This window comes from Homo sapiens, chromosome 21 (genome assembly GCF_000001405.40).
Source record: "Homo sapiens chromosome 21, GRCh38.p14 Primary Assembly".
NCBI classification, from domain to species: Eukaryota; Metazoa; Chordata; class Mammalia; order Primates; family Hominidae; genus Homo; species Homo sapiens.
The window spans coordinates 10411634-10436128 of NC_000021.9; the positions used below are offsets into that span (position 1 = coordinate 10411634).

General features: G+C 42.9%; 1 pseudogene across 2 annotated transcripts in view, besides 1 other annotated feature; it reads left to right on the forward strand.

Annotated features, from left to right (window-relative positions):
- Positions 1-1863: 1863 nt before the first annotated feature.
- BAGE2 (BAGE family member 2 (pseudogene)) overlaps positions 1864-24495 on the forward strand; it is a 104778-nt pseudogene continuing 82146 nt past the window's right edge. For both annotated transcript variants that reach the window (NR_169269.1, NR_169270.1), the window contains exons 1-2: positions 1864-2121; positions 3178-3278. The product of NR_169269.1 is annotated as a BAGE family member 2 (pseudogene), transcript variant 1 (transcript). The remainder of the gene's footprint in view (positions 2122-3177; positions 3279-24495) is intronic.
- Positions 5271-5372: a silencer, noted in NCBI's record as "fragment chr21:11095452-11095553 (GRCh37/hg19 assembly coordinates)". NCBI's record gives its function as "represses an EF-1alpha promoter that drives an FKBP-Casp9 reporter gene in an ReSE screen in phorbol 12-myristate 13-acetate-treated (for megakaryocytic differentiation) K562 erythroleukemia cells {active_cell/tissue: K562(+PMA)}" and the evidence as "EXISTENCE:reporter gene assay evidence [ECO:0000049][PMID:32094911]".

A 24495-nucleotide genomic window follows, 5' to 3' on the forward strand; every position in this document is an offset into this window, starting at 1 on the left:
AGTGAGCCAAGATCACACCACTGCACTCCAGCCTGGGCAACGGAGCGAGACTCCATCTCAAAAAACCAAACCAAACTAAACCAAAACAAAAAAAACCCTGAAATCATATCAATTATTTTTTCTGACCGGAATGGAAGAGTATTAAAAAATCAGTAACAGGAGGAATTTTTTTCCCGACCGTCTTTGGCTCCCTCTCTCGCCACCCTTTTTCTTCCTCCATCTACCCCAAAACTTTTTCCCCACCATTTTTTCCCCATTGTCTTTTTGCAAAGCCTTCTATACTATACCGCTCACTTCCGTTTTCCCCACCCATCTACCCCAAAACTTGTCCCCACCGTGTTTTCTCCCTCTCTCTGGCCACCCTTTTTTCCGCCTCCCGCTCTCATCATCCTCTTTTGCTCCTTCATCTCCCCAAAAACATTTCCCTCATCTTTTCCCAAAGCCTTCTCCCCACTCCTGCTGCTCGCCACCCTCTCTTTCCCCTTCCGTCTACCCAAAAACTGTTTCCCTATCGTCTTTTTTCCCTTCCTCCTTGCCACCCTTTCCCTTCTCCATCTACCCAAAAACATTTTCCTGCCGTCTTTTTGCAAAGCCTCTTCTCTACTCCTGCTCACCACGCTCTTTTAACCCATCTACCTCCCCAATTTTTCCCTGCCATCTTTTCACAAAGCCTTCCCCTCTTCCCGCTCGCCCTCTTCTTTCCTCTATCCTGCTTGCCACCCTCTTTTTGCCCTCCATCTACCCCAAACTATTTTCCCCATCGCCTTTTTCCCAGTCCTCTTTCCCCACTTCCTCTGGCCACACTTTCTATTCTCCTCCCACTTGCCACCCTCTTTTCCCCCTCCGTCTACCCAAACACTTTTTAGCCACTGTCTTTTCTTTCTACACTTTCTTTTCTGCCTATCGTCTTTTAGCAAAACCTTTTCTCTTTCCGGCTCGCCACTCTCTTTACCCTTCTCCCACTGGCCACCCTCTTTCCCCCCTCCATCTACCCAAAAGCTTCTCTCCTCACTGTCTTTTCACAAAACCTTCTCTCCCTCCTGCTCGCCACTCTCTCTTCCCCCTCCCTCTCTGCACCCTCTTTTCTCCTCCCACTTGTCACCCTTTTCCCCCCTCCATCACTCAAAATCTTTTTACCCACAGTCTTCTTTCCCTTTCTTCTCTCCCCACCATATTTTTGCAAACCTTCTCTCCTTCCTGCTCATCCCCGTTCCCCCCTCACGACCCTCTCTTACCCCCTTCCATCTACCCAAAAACTTTTTCCCCACCATCTTTCTGTGAAACCTTCTCTCCCTCCTGTTTACCACCCTGTTTTTCCCCCTCCATCTACCCCCCAATTTTTTTTCCCAACATCTTTTCCTCACCGTCTTTATGCAATGACTTCTCCGGCTCGCCATCCTTTTTTCCTTTTGGCACTAACCACCCTCTTTACCCTTCCATCTATCCCAAAACTATTTTCCCCTTCCTACCTTTCCAGCCACACTACAGTGTCTGTCGCCACCAACTGCAGGGAGGCCAGCCACGGTGCAGCAGGCTACAGCCTCCAGTCTGTCCTGGTCCTCTAAGCCGGGCTCGGAGCAGCTCGGTGAGCAGACACAGAAGAACCTGGAACAGCCTGACTCTTCTTCAGCCCCATTTATGTACTGAAGTTATGCATATGCGGTTCGTGGACTACACTTTCCAGGATTGGATAAGAGAAAGCCCGGAGGCCTACTCTGATTGGACTTTGTTATCATGTTCTGATTGGATGAAAGTCTTAGGACAACCAATTAGAGTATGAAAATAAAGTCCAATCAGAGAAGGCCTAGAGATTTTCTCTCACCCAATCAGAACATGTAGTCCAGAAACCATGCGCGTAACCCCATGTGCATGCCGAGCAGGCCTCACGCCAGTTTAGGGTCTCTGGTATCTCCCGCTGAGCTGCTCTGTTCCCGGCTTAGAGGACCAGGAGAAGGGGGAGTTGGAGGCTGGAGCCTGTAACACCGTGGCTCGTCTCGCTCTGGATGGTGGTGGCAACAGAGATGGCAGCGCAGCTGGAGTGTTAGGAGGGCGGCCTGAGCGGTAGGAGTGGGGCTGGAGCAGTAAGATGGCGGCCGGAGCAGTAAGATGGCGGCTGGAGTGGTAAGATGGCGGCTGGAGTGGTAGGAGTACAGCCTGAGTGGTAGGAGGGTGGCTGGCAGCTGGAGCTGCTCTTGACCGGCTAGAGATCTAGGAGAAGGTGGGGACTGTGCCCAACGCTGGAGGCTGCAGCCTTGGCCACCGCGGCTCGCCTGGCTACGGTTGGTAGTGGTGACGGAGACTGCATCTCTGTTAGAGTAGTAGAAAGGTGGCAGGGTAGGTGTGCTCTCTGCGGCTGCACTGCCTGCTTGCGGGGTGGTGGGGGAGCGGGTTTGGTGTGCTTTTGGAGCTGCACTCCCTGCCGTGGGGGGCTGGTGGGTGGCACTATCAGGTGTTGAATTGCTGGCAGTGGGGCAGGTTTGCTGCGCTATCAGAGTCTACACTGCCTAAGGTGGTGGGGGGTTGGAGGCAGGTTGTGTGTGCCGTCGTGCACTGCCAGCGGAAGGTGGTGGGGAATTAGGGGCATTATTAGCTGCTACACTGGCCGATGCAGGGGGCGGGTTGGGTGAGCTATCATGAGCTACAATGTCAGCAACAATGCCAACTGGCAGGCAGTCGGGGGTGCTTTAGGGGAGCTGTGAAATGTTGCATTGTCCATGGAGGAAAGGGGAACTTCTGCTCGTGTTGGAACGCGGAGGGTGCACAGAGTTTTTGTGGCAATCCTCTGACCACCGCAGGGCCCTCACACCCACCATGGTTACCCGGCCCTTGCCCTCTTGCTCTGTGTTGTGGGGACCATCTGGGAGCCCCAGGCATGGAGTAGTGGGCACCATGGGGGCTCAGGGTCCTGTGGGTGGAGGAGTCAGGAATGGGAACTGGTACTTGGGTGGGGAGGACTGGCTGGGTCTGAGTTTCTGCTGTTCTTGCTCCCCAACTAGCCTCGGACACTGTGGTGTCTCCAGTCCCCACCCCAGGTCAGGAGGCCAGCTTGGTCTAGGAGGAGAGGCTGGACTTTGGAGGGTGGGTGTGAGTGCCTTCGCTGAAACTGGCCCCAGCCACCCAGTGGGCAGCATGACAGGGTGAGGCTCTAACACTGCCACTTTCTGCATCCTATTGTAGGTTTTTCTGGCATTGTCTGCCCAGCTGCTCCAAGCCAGGCTGATGAAGGAGGAGTCCCCTGTGGTGAGCTGGAGGTTGGAGCCTGAAGATGGCACAGCTCTGTGAGTTTCGTTCTTGTTGCCCAGGCTGGAGTGCAATGGTGCAATCTCTGCTTGCTTGAACCTCTGCCTCCTGGGTTCAAGTGATTCTTCTGTCTCAGCCTCCCGAGTAGCTAGGATTACAGGCAGGCGCCACCATGCCCGGCTAATTTTGTATTTTTAGTAGAGATGAGGTTTTACTGTGTTGGTCAGGCTGGTCTTGAACTCCCAACCTCAGGCGATCCACCTGCCTCAGCCTCCCAGAGTGCTGGGATTATAGGTGTGAGCCACCATGCCCAGCTGCAACTCTTCTTTTTACCTTTCCTTTTCCCTTTATGTGCTTACATCTGTCATTTCTAACATTGACATTGTCAAGGTTGAGAACAGTTATGCACTGTATTGTACTCCTTACTGCTTTGTTTCTTTCTTTATTTATTTTTTTGAGACAGTCTTGCTCTGTTGCCCAGGCTTGAGTGCAGTGGTGCGATCTTGGTTCACTGCAACCTCCGCTTCCTAGGTTCAAGCTATTCTCCTACCTCAGCCTTCCAAGTAGCTGGGACTACACGCGCCTACCACCATGCTTGGCAAATTTTTGTATTTTTAGTAGATATGGGGCTTCTCCATGTTGGCCAGGCTGGTCTTTAACTCCTGACCTCAACTGATCCACTTGCCTTGGCCTCTCAAAGTGCTGGGATTACAGGTGTGAGCCACTGCACCTGGCCTGTATGACTTTATTTTAATACTTGAAAGTTAATGGGCTGGACGTGGTGGCTCACACCTGTAATCCTGGCACTTTGGGAGGCTGAGGCGGGCTGATCACCTGAGGTCGGGAGGCCGAGACCAGTCTGGCCAACATGGTGAAACCCCATCTCTACTAAAAATACAAAAATTCGTGGTGGCGTATGCCTGTTATCCCAGCTACTTGGGAGACTGAGGCAGGGAGAATTGCTTGAACCCGGGAGGTGGAGGTTGCAGTGAGCAGAGATGGTGCCATTGCACTCCAGCCTGGGTGACAGAGGGAGACTCTGTCTCAAAAACAAAACAAAACAAAACAAAACTTAAAAATGGTTAGGCACTGTGGCTCATGCCTGTAATTCCAGTACTTTGGGAGGCCAAGACAGGAGGATCACTTGAGCACAGGAGTTCGAGACTAGTCTGCTGGGCAGCATAGTGAGACACTGTCTCTAACTGGGGGGAGGAAAAAAAAAGCCAGGTGTGCGGCCACGTGCCTATAGTCCCAGCTACTCGGGAGGCAAGATGGGAGGATTACTTGAGCCCAAAAGGTTGAGATTGCAGTGAGCCATGGTTGCGCCACTGCACTCCAGCCAGTGCGACAGAGCAAGACCCTGTCTCAACAAACAAAAACCCTCAAAATTTTTTTAATGCTACTAATGTAGTGAGTCATATTAAGTGGGATTATACATGTACCAAACTTATTTTTTCTTGAGTGACATTATTTCATGGTTATTTTAATTTGCATGCCTTATGATTGAGTTAAATTGATGATATTTGTCACATTTTTTTTTGCAAACTGCCTACCAGTACCCTATTTTGGGTACTTTGCAGCTTCAAATAACAAAAATTTTAATTAAAAATGGCTTAAACTATAAATAAAATTTACCTCACATGACTAGAAGTCCAGGTGTAATTCAATGGCTCAATTAAATTGTCACGGACCTAGATGGTTTTCATTTTCCTGCTGTTTTATACTCAGCTTGTTGTTGATAGTTGCTAAATTAATTCACTTAAATAATCATTTAGCACCTACAATGTATTAGGCAATATTCTATAAGCACAGGAAATACAGCAGTGAGCAAAACAAAGTTCATTGCCTTCCTTCACGGAGCTGATATTTTAGTGGGGATAAGGGAGAAGACAGTCAAACAAATAGGTAGAATTTATAGGTTGTCAGAAGACGTTAAGTTTTATGGAAAAAAATAAAGCCATGGAAGGGACGGGAAGGGCTGGGTTGGATTATTTTAAGTGGGGCCATCAGAGAAGGCCTCAGTGAGCTGATGTTTGAATAGAATCTTAAAGGAAATAAGAATGCAAAGGCAATCATTTGGGGAAAGAGTATTGCTGATGCAGGGAACAGTGAGTGCAAAAGCCCCAAGGCAGGAATGTGCTTAGCATGTTCATAGAACTGAAAGGGCTAATGTGGCAGGAGCTGAGTTATGGAGAAAACATCATAAGAGAAGTAGCATGGGGAGTCAGATTGTGCAGGGCCTTGTAGACCATTGTGAGATCTTTTGACTTTTACTCTGGATTAGATGAGAGTCCTTTGGGGGCTTTTGAGTGGAGGACTGGCTTTATCTGACCAAGACTCTCAAACTCTCATGCTGGCTGCTGTGTTGAGACTAGAATGAAGGAGATCAAGGAAGAAGCAGGCATGTTAGTTAAGATAATATTAGCAGGGTGACAGATGATTTGAAGCATGATAGGCATCAGAGAAATGTTGAAGTAATTCTGCATATGTTGAGGCAGAGCCCAAAAGATTTGTTGAGGGATGTGGCATGTGAGAAAAAGAGGATTCGTAGTTCACACCAGGTTCAATGACCAGTAAAGATGAAGTATATTTGTTCATGCACATCTATTTTATTTGGAATTAAAAACCTTTCCTGGAAGCCCTTAGCAGATTTTTTTTTTCTTTTTTTGAGACGGAGTTTTGCTTCTTGTTGCCCAGGCTGGAGTGCAATGGCACGATCTCGGCTCACTGCACCGCATCCTCTGCCTCCCGGGTTCAAGCGATTCTCCTGCCTCAACCTCCCGAGTAGCTGGGATTACAGTTGTGCACCACCATGCCCGGCTAATTTTGTTTTTTTAGTAGAGACAGGGTTTCTCCGTATTGGAACAGGCAGGTGATCTGCCTGCTTCAGCCTCCGAAAGTGTTGGGATTACAGGCATGAGCCACTGCGCTCGGCCAACAGATTTTTTTCTTAAATCCCATCAACCGTGACTGGTATCCATCCATGTCCTAGGTACAAGTGAGGGTGAGAGAGCAAGGATGTTCCTTTCAGCCATGATAGTGGGAGGTGAACTCTGTAAGGAACAGGTTGTGAGTGGGGAGTGGCTATTGGTTAGGTAACTAATAGTCTATTTGTCATTGCCCATTTTTCTGTTAAGTTGATCATCCTTTTTAAATGATTTGTAAATAATTTTTGCATGCTAAGAAAATAAGTATTTGTTATATAATTCTAGATTCTAAATATTTTGAAGCTGTAAATGAGGTTTTAAACTCTGAGATCAGTTTTCTAATTTTGAAATAAAGTGAATCTCCATTGAAATTTACAAGTAGGGGCTGGTGATTGCAGAGTCCAATGCATAATTTATAGTTTTTCCTATTCTGGGTGCTGTTGCGATTTTAACCTGAATGCCAGGTAGTTATCTTTATAAAACTATCATGTGTGAGTTATAGAGGTAGCATTGGGGTGGTGGAAAAAAACACACTGTGCCTCTATATGTGCAGTTTTGCCAGAGGCAATTTTTATTCTTATATTTATTTATTTATTTATTTATTTATTTATTTATTTATTTATTTATTTTTTGAGGTAGGATCTCACTCTGTCACCCAGGCTGGAGTGCAGTGATGCAATCATGGCTCCTTGCAGCCTCAGCCTCCCTGGCTCAAGTGATCCTCCCTCTACTCAGCCTCCACAGTAGCTGGGACTACAAGTGCATACCACCACACCCGGCTAATGTTTAAATTTCTACTAGAGACAAGATATCACTATGTTGCCCTTTCTTCCTTCGCCAAAGAAAGCTGATAAACTGGCTTATTATATAACAAGGAATTCTCATTTTATTCTATTTATATTGTATTCTTATTCTTTAATTTCAGTGATGCAAAGCAGTGTTTTTTGGAGGTTTTGAGTGTGAGCTTTCTCATCAGACACTGAAGTTTTTGAGCCTTAACTCCATTACTTAATTAGCTGTGTGACCCACACCACTTCATTGTACAGCTCCGTTCTTGTGCTGGGGAGGGCATTCACACAAAATACAATGAAATTGTGCTTTCTGGTGGTTCTGATGTGGCTTTAGGCAAGTTCATTAAACACTGCGCTTTCAATAAGATAATGCATGTGGAATGCTGAGCACAGTGCCTTTAAGACACTTAATGGGATATGAGAACAGTTCCATAGCCCTTCATTTTTAATTTTGATTAAGAGTTGTTTACTAATAACTAACTGGGTGAGTTATAAATGGAGAAGTAGGGTCACTGTGAAGTGGCTATGAAATAGCACAGAGGATATATTTAAAAAGCTGTATTTTTACTACATATTTTCAAACTACATATTTCATTTTAGTTTGGAGAACTTTACTGAAGAATAAAGAAGTAGTAGTATGTGAGTTTGGATCATTTCTATGGTTAGGTGGTGGCTGCACTAAGGCCTTTCCAATGCTTAGTCCTGTGAGAGGTAGATAGCGTTGTGGGGGGTAGGGGAGAACAGATAAATGAGATACATTTATATTTTTTTGCATGGTAACTTATAAGGCATTGCCAAGAGAGGGAATTCATTGGAGGCAAAGAAAAATATAAAACATAGTGTATATAGGGCTTTGTAGCATCCGTGGTTTCAGGCATTTATGGGAGCCAGGCAGGGGTGGGGTATGGGGTTGAAATGTATTTCCTATGGATAAGCACAGGACTACTTTATACCACTTAATCCAAGACCCTTTTGCTGGTGAGGAATCCAGCATTTAAATTTATGTATGTATATGATAAAGCTAGACTTTTTCCAGATCTGAGACTCAAAGCTCTTTGTATTTTCATTTATACTCCAGCTCTTTTGAGGAGCTTTAAAGTCTAGTTACAAAGACAGGAAAAACAAGAACGGACATAGTGGCTCACGCCTGTAATCCCAGCACTTTGGGAGGCTGAGGCCGAGACCAGCTTGGTGAATATAGTGAAACCCCGTTATCAACTAAAAATACAAAAATTAGCCCGGTGTGGTGGTGTGTGCCTGTAATCCCAGCTACTCAGGAGGCTGAGGTAGGAGAATTGCTTGAACCTGGGAGGCAGAGGTTGCAGTGAGCTGTGCCACTGCACTCCAGCCTGTGTGCCAGAGACTCTGTGTCAAAGAAAAAAGGCCGGGCACGCGGTGGCTCATGTCTGTAATCTCATTGCTTTGGGAGGCCGAGGCAGGCAGATTACCTAAGGTCAGGAGTTCGAGACCAGCCTGTTCAACATGGCAAAACCCTGTCTCTACTAAAAATACAAAAATTAGCTAGGCGTGGTGGCAGGCACCATAATCTCAGCTACTCGGGAGGCTGAGGCGGGAGAATGGCTTGCACCCGGAGGCGGAGGTTGCAGTGAGCTGAGATGGCACCAGTCAGTGCACTTCAGCCTGGGTGACAGAGCGAGACTCTGTCTCAAAAACAAAAAGCAAACAAAAAACAAACAACAACAAAAAACCTAGGAAAAACATACATGCAACAGAATGTTAAAGACGAGATTCTAAGGCTTTTTTTTTTTTTTTTTTGGAGACAATCTCACTCTGTCGCCCAGGCTGGAGTGCAGTGGTGCGATCTTGGCTCACTGCAGCCTCCGCCTCCCTGGTTCAAGCAGTTCTCTGCCTCAGCCTCCCAAGTAGCTGGGATTACAGGCGCCTGCCACCACGCCTGGCTAATTTTTGTAGTTTTAGTAGAGATGGGGTTTCACCATCTTAGCCAGGCTGGTCTTGAACTCCTGACCTCGTGATCCATCTGCCTCAGCCTCCCAAAGTGCTGGGATTACAGGCGTGAGCCGCTGCTCCTGGCAGAGATTCTAAGTTTTTTGAGAATAGTGACTGTGTTTCTTGGGTCATGGCTCTATCTTATACATCTGGCACAGTGTGTGTGTGTAGCAGGTGTTTAATATTTGTTAAACACAAGTGGTCCTTAATATCAAACAGCATGGGATTTAAGACATGAACTTAGGTTTGAGTCTCAGCACTTTCACTTCTTAGTTGTATGACCTTGGCCATTTAATCTCTTTGATCTTGAATTTCCTTATCCGAAAAATAGGGGACATACTAATTAACATCTATTGTGATGGGTTGTAATGAGAATTAAATGATAATGTGTACAAAATACCTAACTTGATTGGATTTGTGGTACGCAGTAGCTATAATGACCATTTTAACCCCAATATGAGAAGGATTCACTCATCACACTGTTGTATACTTCGTAGCTATTACTTCTTTAATCCCCAAGGACTTAACAAAGTGTTCTTCAGTTTCTACTTCCCAGTTCCTTTGTGGAACTGGTAAAAATTTAAAATATCTTAACATAATATTTTATTTCAAATGATAAACTGTAAGGTAAAATGCGGTTTTTCTTGGACAACAAATGGTAGAATGATGTCTAGAATATTTAGTTATGTCATTTAATACTTTTTCTCTTTACCATTTTTTTAAAAAATATTTTATTTTAGATTCGGGGGTACACATGCAGGTTCGTTACATGGCTAGATTATGTAATGCCGAGGTTTGGCCTGCTAGCGCAGCCATCATCCAAAGTGATCCTAGTACCCAATAGGTAGTTTTCAACCTGTGTACCTCCTCTTCTACCTTCTCTTTTGGAATCTCTAGTCTATTACTTCCATCTTTATGTTCACATGTACTCATTGTTTAGCTCCCACTTAGAAATGAGACCATGTGGTATTTGATTTTCTGGTTCTGAGTTACTTCTTTTAGGACAAAGGATGAAAAAGAATGTAGCCTCCAGCTCCATCCATGTTGCTGCGAAGGACATGATTCCATTCTTTTTTATGGCTGTATATTTTTACCTTTTTTGTGAGGGGGAGAGGATTTAAATATGGACCAGCATAATGAAGAAAATATCTGTAATCCCACTATTCACATAACCCCTGCTAGTTTAAAAAAAGTTCATGTAGGCTGAGCATGGTGGCTCACACCTGTAATCCCAGCACTTTGGGAGTCCAAGGCTGGAGGATCACTTGAGTTTAAGAGTTTAAGACCAGCTTGAGTAATATAGTGAAACATCATGTCTACAAAAAATAAAAATTAGCCAGGTATGGTGGTGCATGCCTGTAGTCCCAGCTACTTGGGAGGATTGCTTGAGGCCAAGAGTTCGAGGCTGCAGTAAGCTGTGATTGTGCCACTGCACTCCACCAGGCATTTAAAAAAAAAAAGTAAATAATTAGAAAATTTAAATAGTGTAAACCAGAGTCCTCTCCTATTAGTTTGCTAGAGTTACCGTAACAAAATACCACAAACTGAGTGACATAAGTGACACTATTTTTTTTTTTTTTTGAGATGCAGTCTCACTCTGTCACCAGGCTGCACGATCTCGGCTCACTGCAGCCTCGGCCTCCCAGGTTCAAGTGATTCTCCTACCTTGGCCTCCCGAGTAGCTGGGACTTCCAGCCTCCAGAATTGAGAAATTTAATTTCTTTTAATTTTAAAAAATTAAGAGTGACACTTGGCCGGGCGCAGTGGCTCATGCCTATAATCCCAGCACTTTGGGAGGCTGAGGTGGGCAGATCACGAGGCCAGGATATCGAGACTATCCTGGCTAACACAGTGAAACCCCGTCTCTACTAAAAATACAAAAAGTTGTTTGGGCGTGGTGGCTCATGCCTGTAATCCCAGCACTTTGGGAGTCCGAGGTAGGCGGATAACCTGAGGTTGGGAGTTTCAGACCAGTATGACCAACACGGAGAAACCCTGTGTCTACTAAAAATACAAAATTAGCTGTGCATGGTGGTGCATGTCTGCAATCCCAGCTACTTGGGAGGCTGAGGCAGGAGAATCGCTTGAACCCGGGAGGCAGAGATTGCAGTAACCCAGCTCACGCCATCGCATTACAGCCTGAGCAACAGGAGCAAAACTTCATCTCAGGGAAAAAAAAAAAAAGTCTAAGTAGTCCCAAAAACATAAAATTTGAGCCTAAAATAAGAACTGTTTTAAAATTTTAATATATTGTGTTTTTTCGCCATGTAATCCCAGGTATTCTTCAGGTTAGAACTCAGTTTCACAAGAAGGGGTGTGCTTGGAAAACTTACCAAAATCTCCTGATTAGATACTTTTTTCGTTTGTTTCTGTTTTTTTGAGACAGAGTCTCGCTCTGTCGCCCAGGCTGGAGTGCGGTGACACAATCTCGGCTGACTGCAACCTCGGCCTCCCGGGTTCAAGCGATTCTCCTGCCTCAGCCTCCCGAGTAGCTGGGACTACTGGCACACACCACCATGCCCGGCTAATTTTTGTATTTTTAGTAGAGACAGGGTTTCACCATGTCGACCAGGCTGGTCTTGAACTCCTGACCTCAGGTGATCCACCCACCTTGGCCTTCCAAAGTGTTGGGATTACAGGCGTGATCCACAGCGCCTGGCCAGAACATACTTATTTAGCAGGTGTGGATATGTGTATTTAAACAGACTTGTAAATAGATGTATAAATGTATACCCATAATGAAATTGATGAAATTATATATATATTTATATATTCATTATAAGGGGTTACATTTCTTCCCCCAGCCTAGAAAGCTTCACTACATAACATGATTATGTGGGAGTTTGAGAGTTGGATCGCTTTGCATTACTGTAAATGATAGAGCTTTATTTTAAAGTATTTTTTATTCTAAAGGTATATGTGCCTTTCATAAATTCAAATTCTAACAAAAGGTATACATCACAAGTTCAGTTTTACTCCCCAGAGGTTATCACTGGAAACTTTTTTTGTATATTTTTCCAGATGTTTTTGGTTTGTAGATAAGACATGTTTGTACGTAGAAAAAAAATACAGACATAGGCATATATGTTCTTTGAAAACAAATGAAATTAGGCCGGGCATGGTGGCTCACACCTGTAATCCCAGCACTTTGGGAGGCCGAGGCGGGTGGATCGTGAGATCAGGAGATCGAGACCATCCTGGCTAACACGGTGAAACCCCATCTCTACTAAAAAATACAAAAAATTAGCCGGGCATGGTGGTGGGCGCCTGTAGTCCCAGCTACTTGGGAGGCTGAGGCAGGAGAATGGCATGAACCCGGGAGGCAGAGCTTGCAGCGAGCCGAGATGGCACCACTGCACTCCAGCCTGGGCCACAGAACGAGACTCCGTCTCAAAAAAAACAACAACAACAAAAAAACAAATGGAATTATACTATAAATACTGTTTTGTGCCTTACTTTTTTTTGGCATACTAGTATATGTTATACATCTTTTCATAGGTATATCATGATTAATGTAGGTGCAGTTCAGTAATGATTCAAATGAAGTTTTCATTATATTCTATTTTTGAAAAATTACCAATAACTACATATATAACTGAAATCACATTATGTAACTGTCAGTATAAAGGAATGGCTCAGGTAAAACCAAATAGAAGTTGTATATTTAATATTTTAATAATTTTTTTAATTAAAAAGTTAAAACTTGTACTACATGGCTATTTATTAGGGTAAGGAAGTATGATCTCTTTAACGTACATGGTATTTTAAAAATATCTTATTCTGGTGTGTCTTCTTGATTGTAAAACCCCACTTAACATTTTGGGCTTCTATTTATATCTTTTTACTTTAAAGTAACACTATTCTGTGGTTATTCTTGTGGCATATTAAAGTGATATTTTAAGGAATACTTAACCAAATTCTATATAAAATGTATCTACTCTAAGTTAGAAATCTTGGTGCCCTTACTGGTCTTATGATCTTGGAAGTCACTTAAGATCCTGAGCTCTGTGTTAAGCCAGTGCTGGTTCAAGTTCTGGATCTACCATTGAATAATTGACCATGACTTCTTTATACTTCAGTTTCCCCAATTGTTGAATAGGAATAATGATTGTTGTGATGAGTCCATAAAAAATACAGTCTTACTGACTTTATGGTGGCCGAAATTTCAAGAGTAACACAGTAACAGTTAAGTCATACTGGGACTCAGGCTAATCTTTTCTCCGTTGCCCTAGGCATTGATGTCCCCCTGGCAAATGAGGGTGAGAAGCGGTGAGGGATTGCATGGGAGGTTTGGGGACAAGGCCTGAGAGTAGTAAAGAGGCATCTTTCACTTTTGCCCACATTTCATTGTCCAGACCAGTCATGTGAAAGGGAAGCTGGGAAATGTAGTTTAGCCATATGCCAGGAGGAAAAGGAAACGCTTTGGTAAATAGCCAGTTTTTGCCACCAGTGCTAAGCACAGTTCCTGGAAGATGGTTTTCAAGTCATTAAGCAAGTCACTTTTCACCTCTCCAGGTCCGTGTTTCTTTCTGTAAAGTGGGAAGGGGGATGATAATGAAAACTTCTATGAAGCATGTTTTGGGAGAACTATATGTTATAACCATCTTAACTCACTTAATTCTTACAAAAGTCCTCTGAAGTAAAGACTATTATTGTCCTTTTTTTTTTCTTTTTTAACAGCTGAGGAAGCTAAGGCTCAGAGTGAGTCATGGACACAGGATTTGAACCCAGGCAGTCTTTTCTGTAGGGTCTGTGCTTTTATTTATTTTTATTTTTATTAATTTTTTTTTGAGATGGAGTCTCATTCTGTCGCCCGGGCTGGGTGCAGTGGTGTGATCTCAGCTCACTGCAACCTCACCTCTCAGGTTCAAGCACTTCTCCTCCCTCAGCCTCCCAAGTAGCTGGGATTATAGGCGAGTGCTACCACGCCAGGCTAATTTTTGTATTTTTAGTAGAGTCGGGGTTTCACTGTGTTGGCCAGGCTGGTCTTGAACTCCCGACCTCAGGTGGTTCACCCGCCTCAGCCTCCCAAAGTGCTGGGATTACAGGCATGAGCCACTGCACCTGGCCTCAGGCATAATGTGATATCATTTATAAATATTAGAGAATGTAGTTCTAAAAAGTGAAGGCTTAAGAAAAACCTAATACCACCATCATACTCAAAAAAAAATTGACAGTTAAATCCATAATATCATCAAATATTCTATGTTCAGGTAAACATGTCTCAGTTTTTAAAAGTATTTGAATAAGGCTTACATATTGCGATTAAGTCTCTTAATCTGTAGGTTACCACCTTCCTTTTTATTCTCGCAATTTATTTGTTAAAGAAATGGGTTATTTGCCCTGTAGAGTTCCCGTAGTCAGGATTTTGCTGATTCCTGAGATTCAATACCAGGTTTATCCCTGATATTTCTCTATTTTCTGTATTTCCAAATGAGTAGTTGGAACCAGAGGCTTGGTCAGAGTCAGGTTCAGTCTTATTTTACAAGACTGCTTTGTAGTTGTGGTGCATTCTTTCATCAGGAGGCACAAAATGTGATTGTCTCTTTTTGTGACACTAGCAACTGTTGGTGACTAATGCCTAGATCCGTTGATTCATTAAGGGTTGTAAAATGATAATGTTCTAGTTGTGTTACTCCTTCATTTTATTATCTGGAATACTGTTTTATAAAAAGAAAAGTTTCCATCACCTCTTACTTGGTTGCCCAGTGTAACTGTTCATATGAGAAAGGCAGAATAAATGTTTGCTTGTTTACCTTTCTTTACCAGTTTCCAGTATAGTCAGTAGGTTCACTGTACTTTCCAGCTGTGATTAATAAATTTTTAAAATTATTATTTTTAATGTATCTGTTACTGTATAGGACAGTATCTGGAAATACCCAAAGACAAGATCTCTAAAGAAGTCATTGGCTAGTGGTGGATCAGTGCAGTGTGGTGTTGATGGTGGTGGTGGTGGTGATGGTGGTGGTGGTGGTGGTAGTGGTGATGGTGGTGATGGTGGTGGTGGTGGTGGTGGTGGTGATGGTGATGGTGGTGGTGGTGATGGTGGTGGTGGTGGTGATGGTGATGGTGGTGGTGGTGATGGTGGTGGTAGTGGTGGTGGTGGTGATTGTGATGTGGTGGTGATGATGGTGGTGGTGGTGGTGGTGGTGATGGTGGTGGTGGTGGTGGTGGTAGTGGTGGTGGTGGTAGTGGTGGTAGTGGTGGTGGTGGTAGTGGTGATGGTGGTGGTGCTGGTGGTGGTGGTAGTGGTGGTGGTGGTAGTGGTGATGGTGGTGGTGGTGGTGGTAGTGGTGGTGGTGGTAGTGGTGGTGGTGGTGGTGGTGGTGGTGGTGGTAGTGGTGGTGGTGGTGGTGGTCGTGGTTTTAGTGGTGGTGGTGGTGGTGGTGGTGGTCGTGGTTTTAGTGGTGATGGTGGTGGTGGTGGTGGTAGTGGTAGTGGTGATGGTGGTGGTGGTGGTGGTGGTGGTAGTGGTGGTGTTATGCACATGGGGGATAATATAGCAGAGGCATTAAGCTTGAAATCAGGAAAGAGCTCTGGAGTTATCCTTGAGCTGTGTTTTGAAGGTTGAGTAGCAGTTTGCTATTGGAGGAGGTAGAGGTTACTTTTCAGGCAGAGGGAGCAGCATTTGCAAAGGCTCTGAGATGTGAGAGTTTGTTACTGAAGAAATTTGGTAGGGCTGGAAGCTCAGTGAGCTTGGTGCGAGAGAGTCAAGAGATGAGGCTTTAGAGATAGTATGGGTTTTAAGTCATTCCAAGGAATAGTTTTGATTTAACTCTGAAGGCCATGGAGAGACATTGAAAGGTTTTATCCAAGTGAATGATGGAAGGAGCAAACTGTGGAACCCTTGGGGCAGCACTGAGAAGAGCGACTCATGATGCCCCTTTTCTGAACTGCTTATACAGATTTGATTCTCATTCTTGGCATTACTCCTGATTCCTCCTTCGTCTACATGCACACGCACCTACACACACACACAAACACACACAGAGACACACGTCTGCCTCTCGGATCTCCTTCTAGAGTCTTAGTTCTTGTTTTTTTCAGAATTTGGGCAACTAACAAGGCTAGAAAGGAGGCCATCTAAAAAAGCGATTGGTGTTGAAAAGTTGCTGCTCCCGTCCTAGCAGCACAACTCTTCACTTCATAGTAATGGGAGTAATGACGATGATGAGTGTGGACAACTAATGAGCACTTAACTGTAGTACCAGGGACTATTCTCAGAATTCATTAGCGTGACAACCCTCTAAGGTAGGGTCTGTTATCCCCGTTATACAGATGTGGCAGAAACGGCAGGGAGAAGTTAAGTGACTTGCTTAAGGTAATAAATGTAGTAAGAAGCAGAGGTGGGATTGAACCTGAACAGTTTGCATCTAGAGTTCATGCTCATAACATTCTATTTATTGCCTTTCTGGTTTTATGACCCCCTTCTTATCTAAGTGTATGCTCTGTGCCCCGCACATACAAACTAGTTCCCGTAACATGTGTAATATAATCCCTCCTTTCCCAGGGTTTCCCGGCTTCCTATCCTTCCCCTTAGCTTTCTGTCATCAGTTTTTCCTAGGATTTCTGGTTCAGCCTATGTCAAAGTGAGAGTCACCAACATAGGTGATGATAAATACTGTTTGATTACAGGAATGTAGGAAGATGCGCAAGCATTCTACTAAAAATGCTTTTCCCACAGATAGAGTAAACCAAGGTTGCTTAGGTTTTGTAAGACTGCCATTCAACTATAAATAGGCCTTATGTATGTTTACTAAATCAGAAAACATTTAATATAGCTAAATTTTAAATAATCAACAACAGAAAATAAAAATATTTTGCCCCACCGTCTTAAGGTTACAAAGACTTAGAGGTATATTTTATTTACATGCATGCATACACACACACAAACACACAAACACAAATCATATATAGATGTGTAGAAAATATAGAAAAGTAGAAAAATGTATACAAATATGTGAAATACATTATGTGGAATCATGTTTGTATTTTTTTAGCTTAGGAAAGAAAGCCATTAAAAGACTTACATGTCAATAACCATGATACTATAGGATTTTAGTAGTTGCAGAGTATTACATTACTTAAATAAATGATTCATGGAATAGTCTTTTTTTATTGGACAAGGGATTTTCCCCTCCCCCTCAATCTTTTAGAGTTAGAAACAATGCAGAGATGCGTGTCTTTATAGTTAAACCTTTGTACATTTTATAATTTACTTATGATAAATTTTCAAGTTGAATTCCTAGGCCAAAGGGTATACAGATTTTAAGGACTTTCAATGTTGGCAGATATCACTGTAGGATAATTATACCAATTTATACTCTTAACAGTAATATATGAGTGTATATATTTACCTATTCCTTGCCAGTTCTGGAAATTGTGAATTTAACAGAATCTTCCAAAAAGCATTGAAAATTGGCCTAGGAATGTAAATATCCTTTTCTTCCCCATTCAGCTTACTAATGAATCTATCATAATCTCAGCTGTGTGAGTCTAAAAGAGAACCAGTAAAATTGAGATAACAAGTTTATTGCAAAATAAATGACCTGAAAGCCACAGGCATTGGGTGGGGTAGGAGAAGGGCAGGTAGTGGTGACTGAGGTGACTCTGTGTTTGGGTTTTTGAAAAGATTGTAGATTTGAAGGATAATGAGTTCAGAGAAGTAGAAAGGCAAATAGGGGCTGTTATAAATAAGGACAGTGGCATGAGCCAACGGGGTTATCTCTCATATTTAAAGAACATGGCTAGATCTGGTTTCCCTATAAGTTGATTCCTTACTGTTATTCTGAGTTGAATGCATATCTTTTGTCTCAGTGAAGCCTGAATGGCTTTTGATGTCTCTGATCTGGAAAGGTTGTTTGTGTATCTCAGAATAAGTCATTTTGCTAAAAAAGGCTACTCCTGAGGGAGAGCAGTGGAAAAAAGAGTTGGAAAAGTGGATTGTAGCTAGTTGAAAAAAGGATTTGAATGTCAAGCTTTAGGAATTTGGTTCTTATTTGGTATGTTACAGGCAACCATATGGACTTTTGAGCAGGTGAAAAGTACAGTATTAATGGGTAGGGATAGCTTGGGAGGGAAGGAGACATGGACATTGAGCTTCAGAAAAACCAGTTAGTAAAATGTTTCAGATAATACATTGGTAATAGAAAAAGATCCATTGAAATGTGAGGCATTCACATGGAAAGAACTGGCAGAATGTGGTAATTAACAGCTATAAGGACCCCAAAATAAAAGGAGTAATCAAACATCACTCAAAGCTTTTAGCACAGTTTTTGAGAACAGTGTCAGAAGGAGAAGACAACTTTGTTCCTAAAAGTTATATTGTAAAATAAATGTAGCTTATACATTTTTGAAAGTGAAATCTCAGGATTCATGGTATCATTACTTCTACTTGCCAAATTATTAAAATGGTGTTATATTTCTTAAGATATTTTAAAGCCTCTATTGTAGAACAGAAATGGTAGAAAATGGAACTAATGTTTATTAACAGTTACTATGGAAGAGGGAATAGAAATGTGTTGCTCTTGAACAGGTTTATTCAACTTTGGCACTATTGACATCTTGGGCTAGCTAATTCCTTGTCACGGGCAGTATGTCCTGTGTGTAGGATGTTAAGCAGCATTTCTGGCCTCCACCCACTAGATATAGTAGCACACCCATGCCCCTCCCCTCCTCCCTGCCTCTGTGACAACCAAAAATGTCTTTAGACATTGCCAGATGTCCCTTGGGCAGCAAAAATTGCTCCCTCTCCCCAGTTAAGAGCCATTGTTCTAGAGTACAGAATCAGTACCACTAAATAAATGTTATTGGTGTGTTTAGAACAGTGCCTAGCACATAGCTGGTACTCAAATATTTGTTGAATAAATGAGTAGTCAGATTTTCATTGTGAATTAAAAACAGAACAAAACTTGATGTCTGACCTTTCAAGTTGCTTTTACAAAAGAAATGGGATGTCCATTGAACATCTGTTTTAGATCTGATTTCCCAATCTGGATTATTAAAATGAGGAGGCTATTTTTTTCCCAGTATATAAATGATTCTAATACTTTTTGCTGTAAAACTTTTGGAGTCTCTCTGCTAAATTATGTTCCAGTTTCTTAGCTTGGGATTCAAGTCATAAATATACTAGGTCTGTCTTACCTTTCAGTGCTTTTATTTGTTCCCTTTTGAACATGGCTGAATTTTACCTTTCTGTCTCCCTGCCCGCCATTCTTGCTACCCCTCCTTCCTTTTTCCACTCTCATCTTTTTCCCATTTTCCAGTCTGTAAATCCTACCTATCCTTTTATTTTTTAAATTACAATATCTCATTCTGTTACTTAGGCAGGAGTGTGGTGGCACAATCATAGTTGACTGCAGCTTCGAATTTCTGGGCCCAAATGACCCTCCCATCTCAGCCTCCCAAGTAGCTGGGAATACAGGTGCACAATACTGTGCCCGGCTAGTTTTTTTTTTTTTTTTTTTTTTTGAGACAGAGTTTCACTCTTGTTGCCCAGGCTGGAGTGCAATGGTGTGATCTCGGCTCACTGCAACCTCTGCCTCCCGGGTTCAAGTGATTCTCCTGTCTCCGCCTCTCGAGTAGCTGGGTTTATAGTCGTATGCCCCCATGCTCAGCTAATTTTTGTGTTTTTAGTAGAGGTGGGGTTTCATCATAGTGGTCAGGTTGGGCTTGAACTCCTGACCTCAGGTGATCTGCCTGCCTCGGCGTCCCAAAGTGATGGGATTATAGGTGTGAGCCACTGTGCCCAGCTTAGTTTTGTTTTTTTTTTTTGAGATGGAGTCTCGCTGTGTTGCCCAGCCTGGAGGGAAGTGGTGTAGTGGTGTGATCTCAGCTCACTGCAACTTCTGCCTCCTGGGTTCAAGTGATTCTCCTGCCTCAGCCTCCCAAGTAGCTGGGACTACAGGCGCATGCTGCCACCCCTGGCTAAGTTTTTATATTTTAGTAGAGATGGGGTTTCACCTTGTTACCCAGCTGGTCTCAAATTCCTGAGCTCAGGCAATCCGCTTGCCTCGGCCTGCCAAAGTGCTAGGATTACAGGTGTGAGCCACCATGCCCAGCCATTCCCAGCTAGTTTTTGTAGATACTGGGGTCTCGCTGTGTTGCCTAGGCTGGTCTCAAACCCATGGGCTCAAGTGATCCTCCCATTACAGCCTCCCAAAGTGCTGGGATTACAGGCACGGGCCACTGTGCCCTGCCCTGTCTTCCTTTTTGAAGTCTCTCTCTCTGTGTCTTTACTTTTATACTTATTTTTTCTCTCGTCATGTCTTTGCCCCTGTCTTTTTTGGAGTCTTACTCTGTCACACAGGCTGGATTGCAGTGGCACAGTTCTAGCTCACTGCAGCCTTGAACTCCTGGGGTCAAGTGATCCTCTAGCTCAAGTGATCCTCCTACTTCAGCCTCTGAGTAGCTGGGACTCTATGTGTGCACCACCACGCCTGGCTCCTTTGCCCATTTTTGTTTGTTTTTTGGAGACAGAGTCTTACTCTTGTCACCTAGGCTGGAGTGCAGTGGCATGATCTCGGCTCACTGCAACCTCCACTTTCTGGGTTCAGGCGATTGTCCTGCCTCAGCCTCCTGAGTAGCTGAGACTACAGGCGTGCACCACCATGCCTGGATAATTTTTGTGTTCTTAGTAGAGACGGGATTTTGCCATGTTGGCCAGGCTGGTCTTGAACTCCTGACCTCAGGTGATCCACCCGCCTTGGCCTCTGAAAGTGCTGGGATTATAGATAGGAGCCACCATGGCAGGCCTCCTTTGCCCATTTTGAAATTGAGTTGTTTTCTTTTCTTTTTATTAACAGGTCCCCCCCCACCCTCCACACACAGTCTTGCTTGTTGCCCCAGGCTGGAGTGCAGTGGCACAATCTTGGCTCACTGCAACCTCTGCCTCCTGGGTTCAAGTAATTCTTCTGCCTCAGCCTCCTGAGTAGCTGGGATTACAGGTGCCTGCCACCATGCCTGGCTTATTTTTGTATATTTAGTAGAGATGAGGTTTCACCATGTTGACCAGGCTGGTCTTGAACTCCAGACCTGTGATCTTCCTGCCTTGGACTCCCACAGTGCTGGGAATACAGGCATGAGCCACTGGACCCTGGCCTTAACTACATATTTTTTACATCTGCACAGTGTTTTGGAAAAAGTGGTTCAACTGAAAGAATGAAAAGTTGGGGGCAGAATTTGCTTTAAAAAAAAATTAAAAAAAGGGCATTGAAAAAAGTTTCAGTGGTGTTGGGAGGGCCTTGGAACAAGGAGTGAATGGAAGATGAGGGAGTGGAGGGAGGCCATGTATGGACTCTTTCTACAGACCAGGCTGTTGAAGGAGAGAGGGCTAACAGGAAATGTAGTGCAGGGGGAAGTTTTTTGAAGATGGGAGAAAGAAGACAACTTTTATATATTTCATTTCATTTGATTCCTTATAAATTTGTAAGGAAGATAGAGCTTGTATTATGTCAGTGAAGTTGAAAATAGAGCACAGAAAAATTAAGATACAGCACCCCCAAAACTGAGAACTTCTGACATAATACACTGTTGGAAATATTTATTTCAGAGTGAAGAAAATATTGGAAGTTAGGCTTGTTAATTGGTCTGCATGGTTCATAATTACTCTTTCTTATTAACTATTTAAGGAACATGAGACCAGGAAGTTAAATACCCAGGTATATGCAGATGTATATCTAGAATTGGTACCAAAGTAAATACAGGCATACCTTGGAGATACTGTAGGTTCCATTATAGACTACCACAATAAAGTGAATATCACCATAAAGCAAGGCACACAAATATTTTGGTTTACCAGTGTATGTAAATATTATGTTTATATTCTACTGCAGTCTATTAAATGTTCAATAGCGTTATATTTAAAAAACCAATGTGCATACTTTAATTTAAAAATACTTTATTGCTAAAAAATGCTACTGATCATCTGAGCTTTCAGTAAATTGTAAGGTTTTTTGCTGATAGAGGATGTTGGTGGCTGCTGACTGATCCCAGCAGTGATTGCTGATGGTTGGGGTGCCTCTGGCAGTTTCTTACAATAAGACAACAATGAAGTTTGCTACATTGATTGCCTCTTTCTTTCGTGAAAGATTTCTCTGTAGCACTTGATGCTGTTTCATAGCATTTTTTACCCAAAAGTAGAACTTTTTTTCAAAATTGGAGTCAGCTCAAACCCTGCCACTGCTTTAACAACTAAGGTTATATAGTATTCTAAATCCTTTGTTGTCATTCAATAATTTCACAGCCTTTTCACCAGGAGTAGTTTCCATCTTTAAGAAACCACTTTCTTGGGTCATCTGTAAGGAACAACTCCTAATCTGTGCAAGTTTTATCATGAGATTGCAGCAATTCAGTCACATCTTCAGGCTCCACTTCTAATTCTCTTGCTGTTTCCACTACATCTGCAGTAACTTCCTCCACTTGAGTCTTGAACCTCTCAAAGTCATCCATGAGAGTTGGAATCAACTTCTTCCAAACACCTGTTCGTGTTGATATTTTGACTTCCTCTCATGAATTATGAATGTTCTTAATGACATCTACGGTGGTGAAGTCTTTCCAGAAGGTTTTCAGTTTATTTTGCCCAAATCTACTACAGGAATCACTTTTTTTTTTTTTTTTGAGACAGAGTCTCTCTTTGTCGGCCTGGCTGGAGTGCAGTGGTGCGATCTTGGTTTACTGCAACCTCTGCCTCCCGGTTCAAGCGATTCTCCTGACTCAGCCCCCCGAGTATCTGGGACTACAGGTGCGTGCCACCACGCCTGGCTAATTTTTGTATTTTTAGTAGAGATGGGGTTTTGCCATGTTGGCCAGGGTGTTCTCGAACTCCCGGCTTCAAGAGATCCTCCTGCCTTGGCGTCCCAGAGTGCTGGGATTACAGGCATGAGCTGTCGTGCCTGGCTGAAATGTATTTCTTGAACAATAAGACTTAAAAATTGAAATTACTCATTGATGCATGGGCTGCAGGATAGATGTTGTATTGTACTGGCAGGCATGAAAGTAACATTCTTCTTTCTGAACATATCCATCAAAGCCCTCTAATGACCTGGTCCATTGTTAGTGAGTGCTAATATTTTGAAATGAATGTTTTTTCCTTAGCAGTAGGTCTTGACAGTGGACTGAAAATATTCAGTAAGCCAACCTCTAAACAGATGTGCTGTCATCCAGGAGACTGTTGTTCCATATGTAGATAGCAAGCAGATTAGATATAGCATAATTCTTAAGAGCTCTAGGACTTTTTTGAGTGGCAAATGAGCATTAGCTTCAATGTCAAGTTACCAGCTGCATTAGCCCCTAACAAGAGAGTCAGTTTTTATTTATTTATTTATTTATTTATTTATTTATTTTTAAAAGAGACAAGAGTCTCGCCTTGTTGTCCAGGCTGGCCTTGAACTCCTGGGCTCAAGTGATTCTCTTACCTTGGCCTCTCAAAGTGCTGGAATAACAGGTGTGGCCCCAGCCTGACCTTTGAAGCAAGGCATTGATTTTCCCTCTCTAGCTGTGAAAGTCCTAGATGGCATCTTCTTCTAATGGAAGGCTCTTTTGTCTACTTAAAACACCTTGTTTAGTATAGCCACCTCCAGCAATGATCTTAGATATATATTCTGGATAACTTGCTACAGCTTCCATGTCAGCACTTGCTGCTTCACTTTCCACTTTTATGTTATGACAATAGCATTTTTCCTCATGAGCCAACCTCTACTTGCTTCCAGTTTTTCTTCTGCAGTTTTCTCACCTCTCTCAGCCTTCATAGAACTGAAGAAGGTTAGAGCCTTGCTGTGGATTAGGCTTTTTGCTTAAGGGAATGTTGTGGCTGGTTTGATCTTTCATATGGACCACTAAAACTTTCTTCATATTAGCAATAAGATTGTTTCATGTTCACTGACATAGTGCTTTTAATTTTATTCAAGAATTTTTTGTTTACATTCATAATTGGCTGAATGGTACAAGAGGCCTAGCTTTAGGCCTTTCTCACTTTTTGATATTCCTTCCCCACTAAGATTAATCATTTGTAGCTTTTCAGTTAAAATGAGAGGCACGTGACTTTTCCTTTCCCTGAATTGTTTGGGCATTATATATGACTTCCGTTGCACTACAGTGTCAGAGTTGGTTGCTGCAGAGAGCACATATATTTCAAATTGCTGCTCTGCATGCTACGAATCACAATAACATAGTTACTGTTTGTCAGTATGTGTGTGTGTGTGGGCACCACACATATTGCCCTGGCATCTTATTTATTTCTCTCATTACCAGTGCATACTTACCTATCATGTTAAAACAAGAAAAGGAGAAAAGTGGACTTTATATGTAACACTTTAGAGGCATAGTGGAATGTATATTATTATTAACAAATTAGATAGCAAAGCATTATATTTGTTATGCTAGAAGACTATGGCTGTGCTAAAAGAATATAATATATGTCAACATTGCCAGACTGGGCACTTCTCACAATATTCCCAACCAACAGGAATAAAACTAAAGGTCAGAAAAAAAAAATAGTAAATTAAAACAAAATTTTATCACAGCAGAATTTCTTCTCAAAAACAAAAAATGGAAATTAGGCTATAATTAAA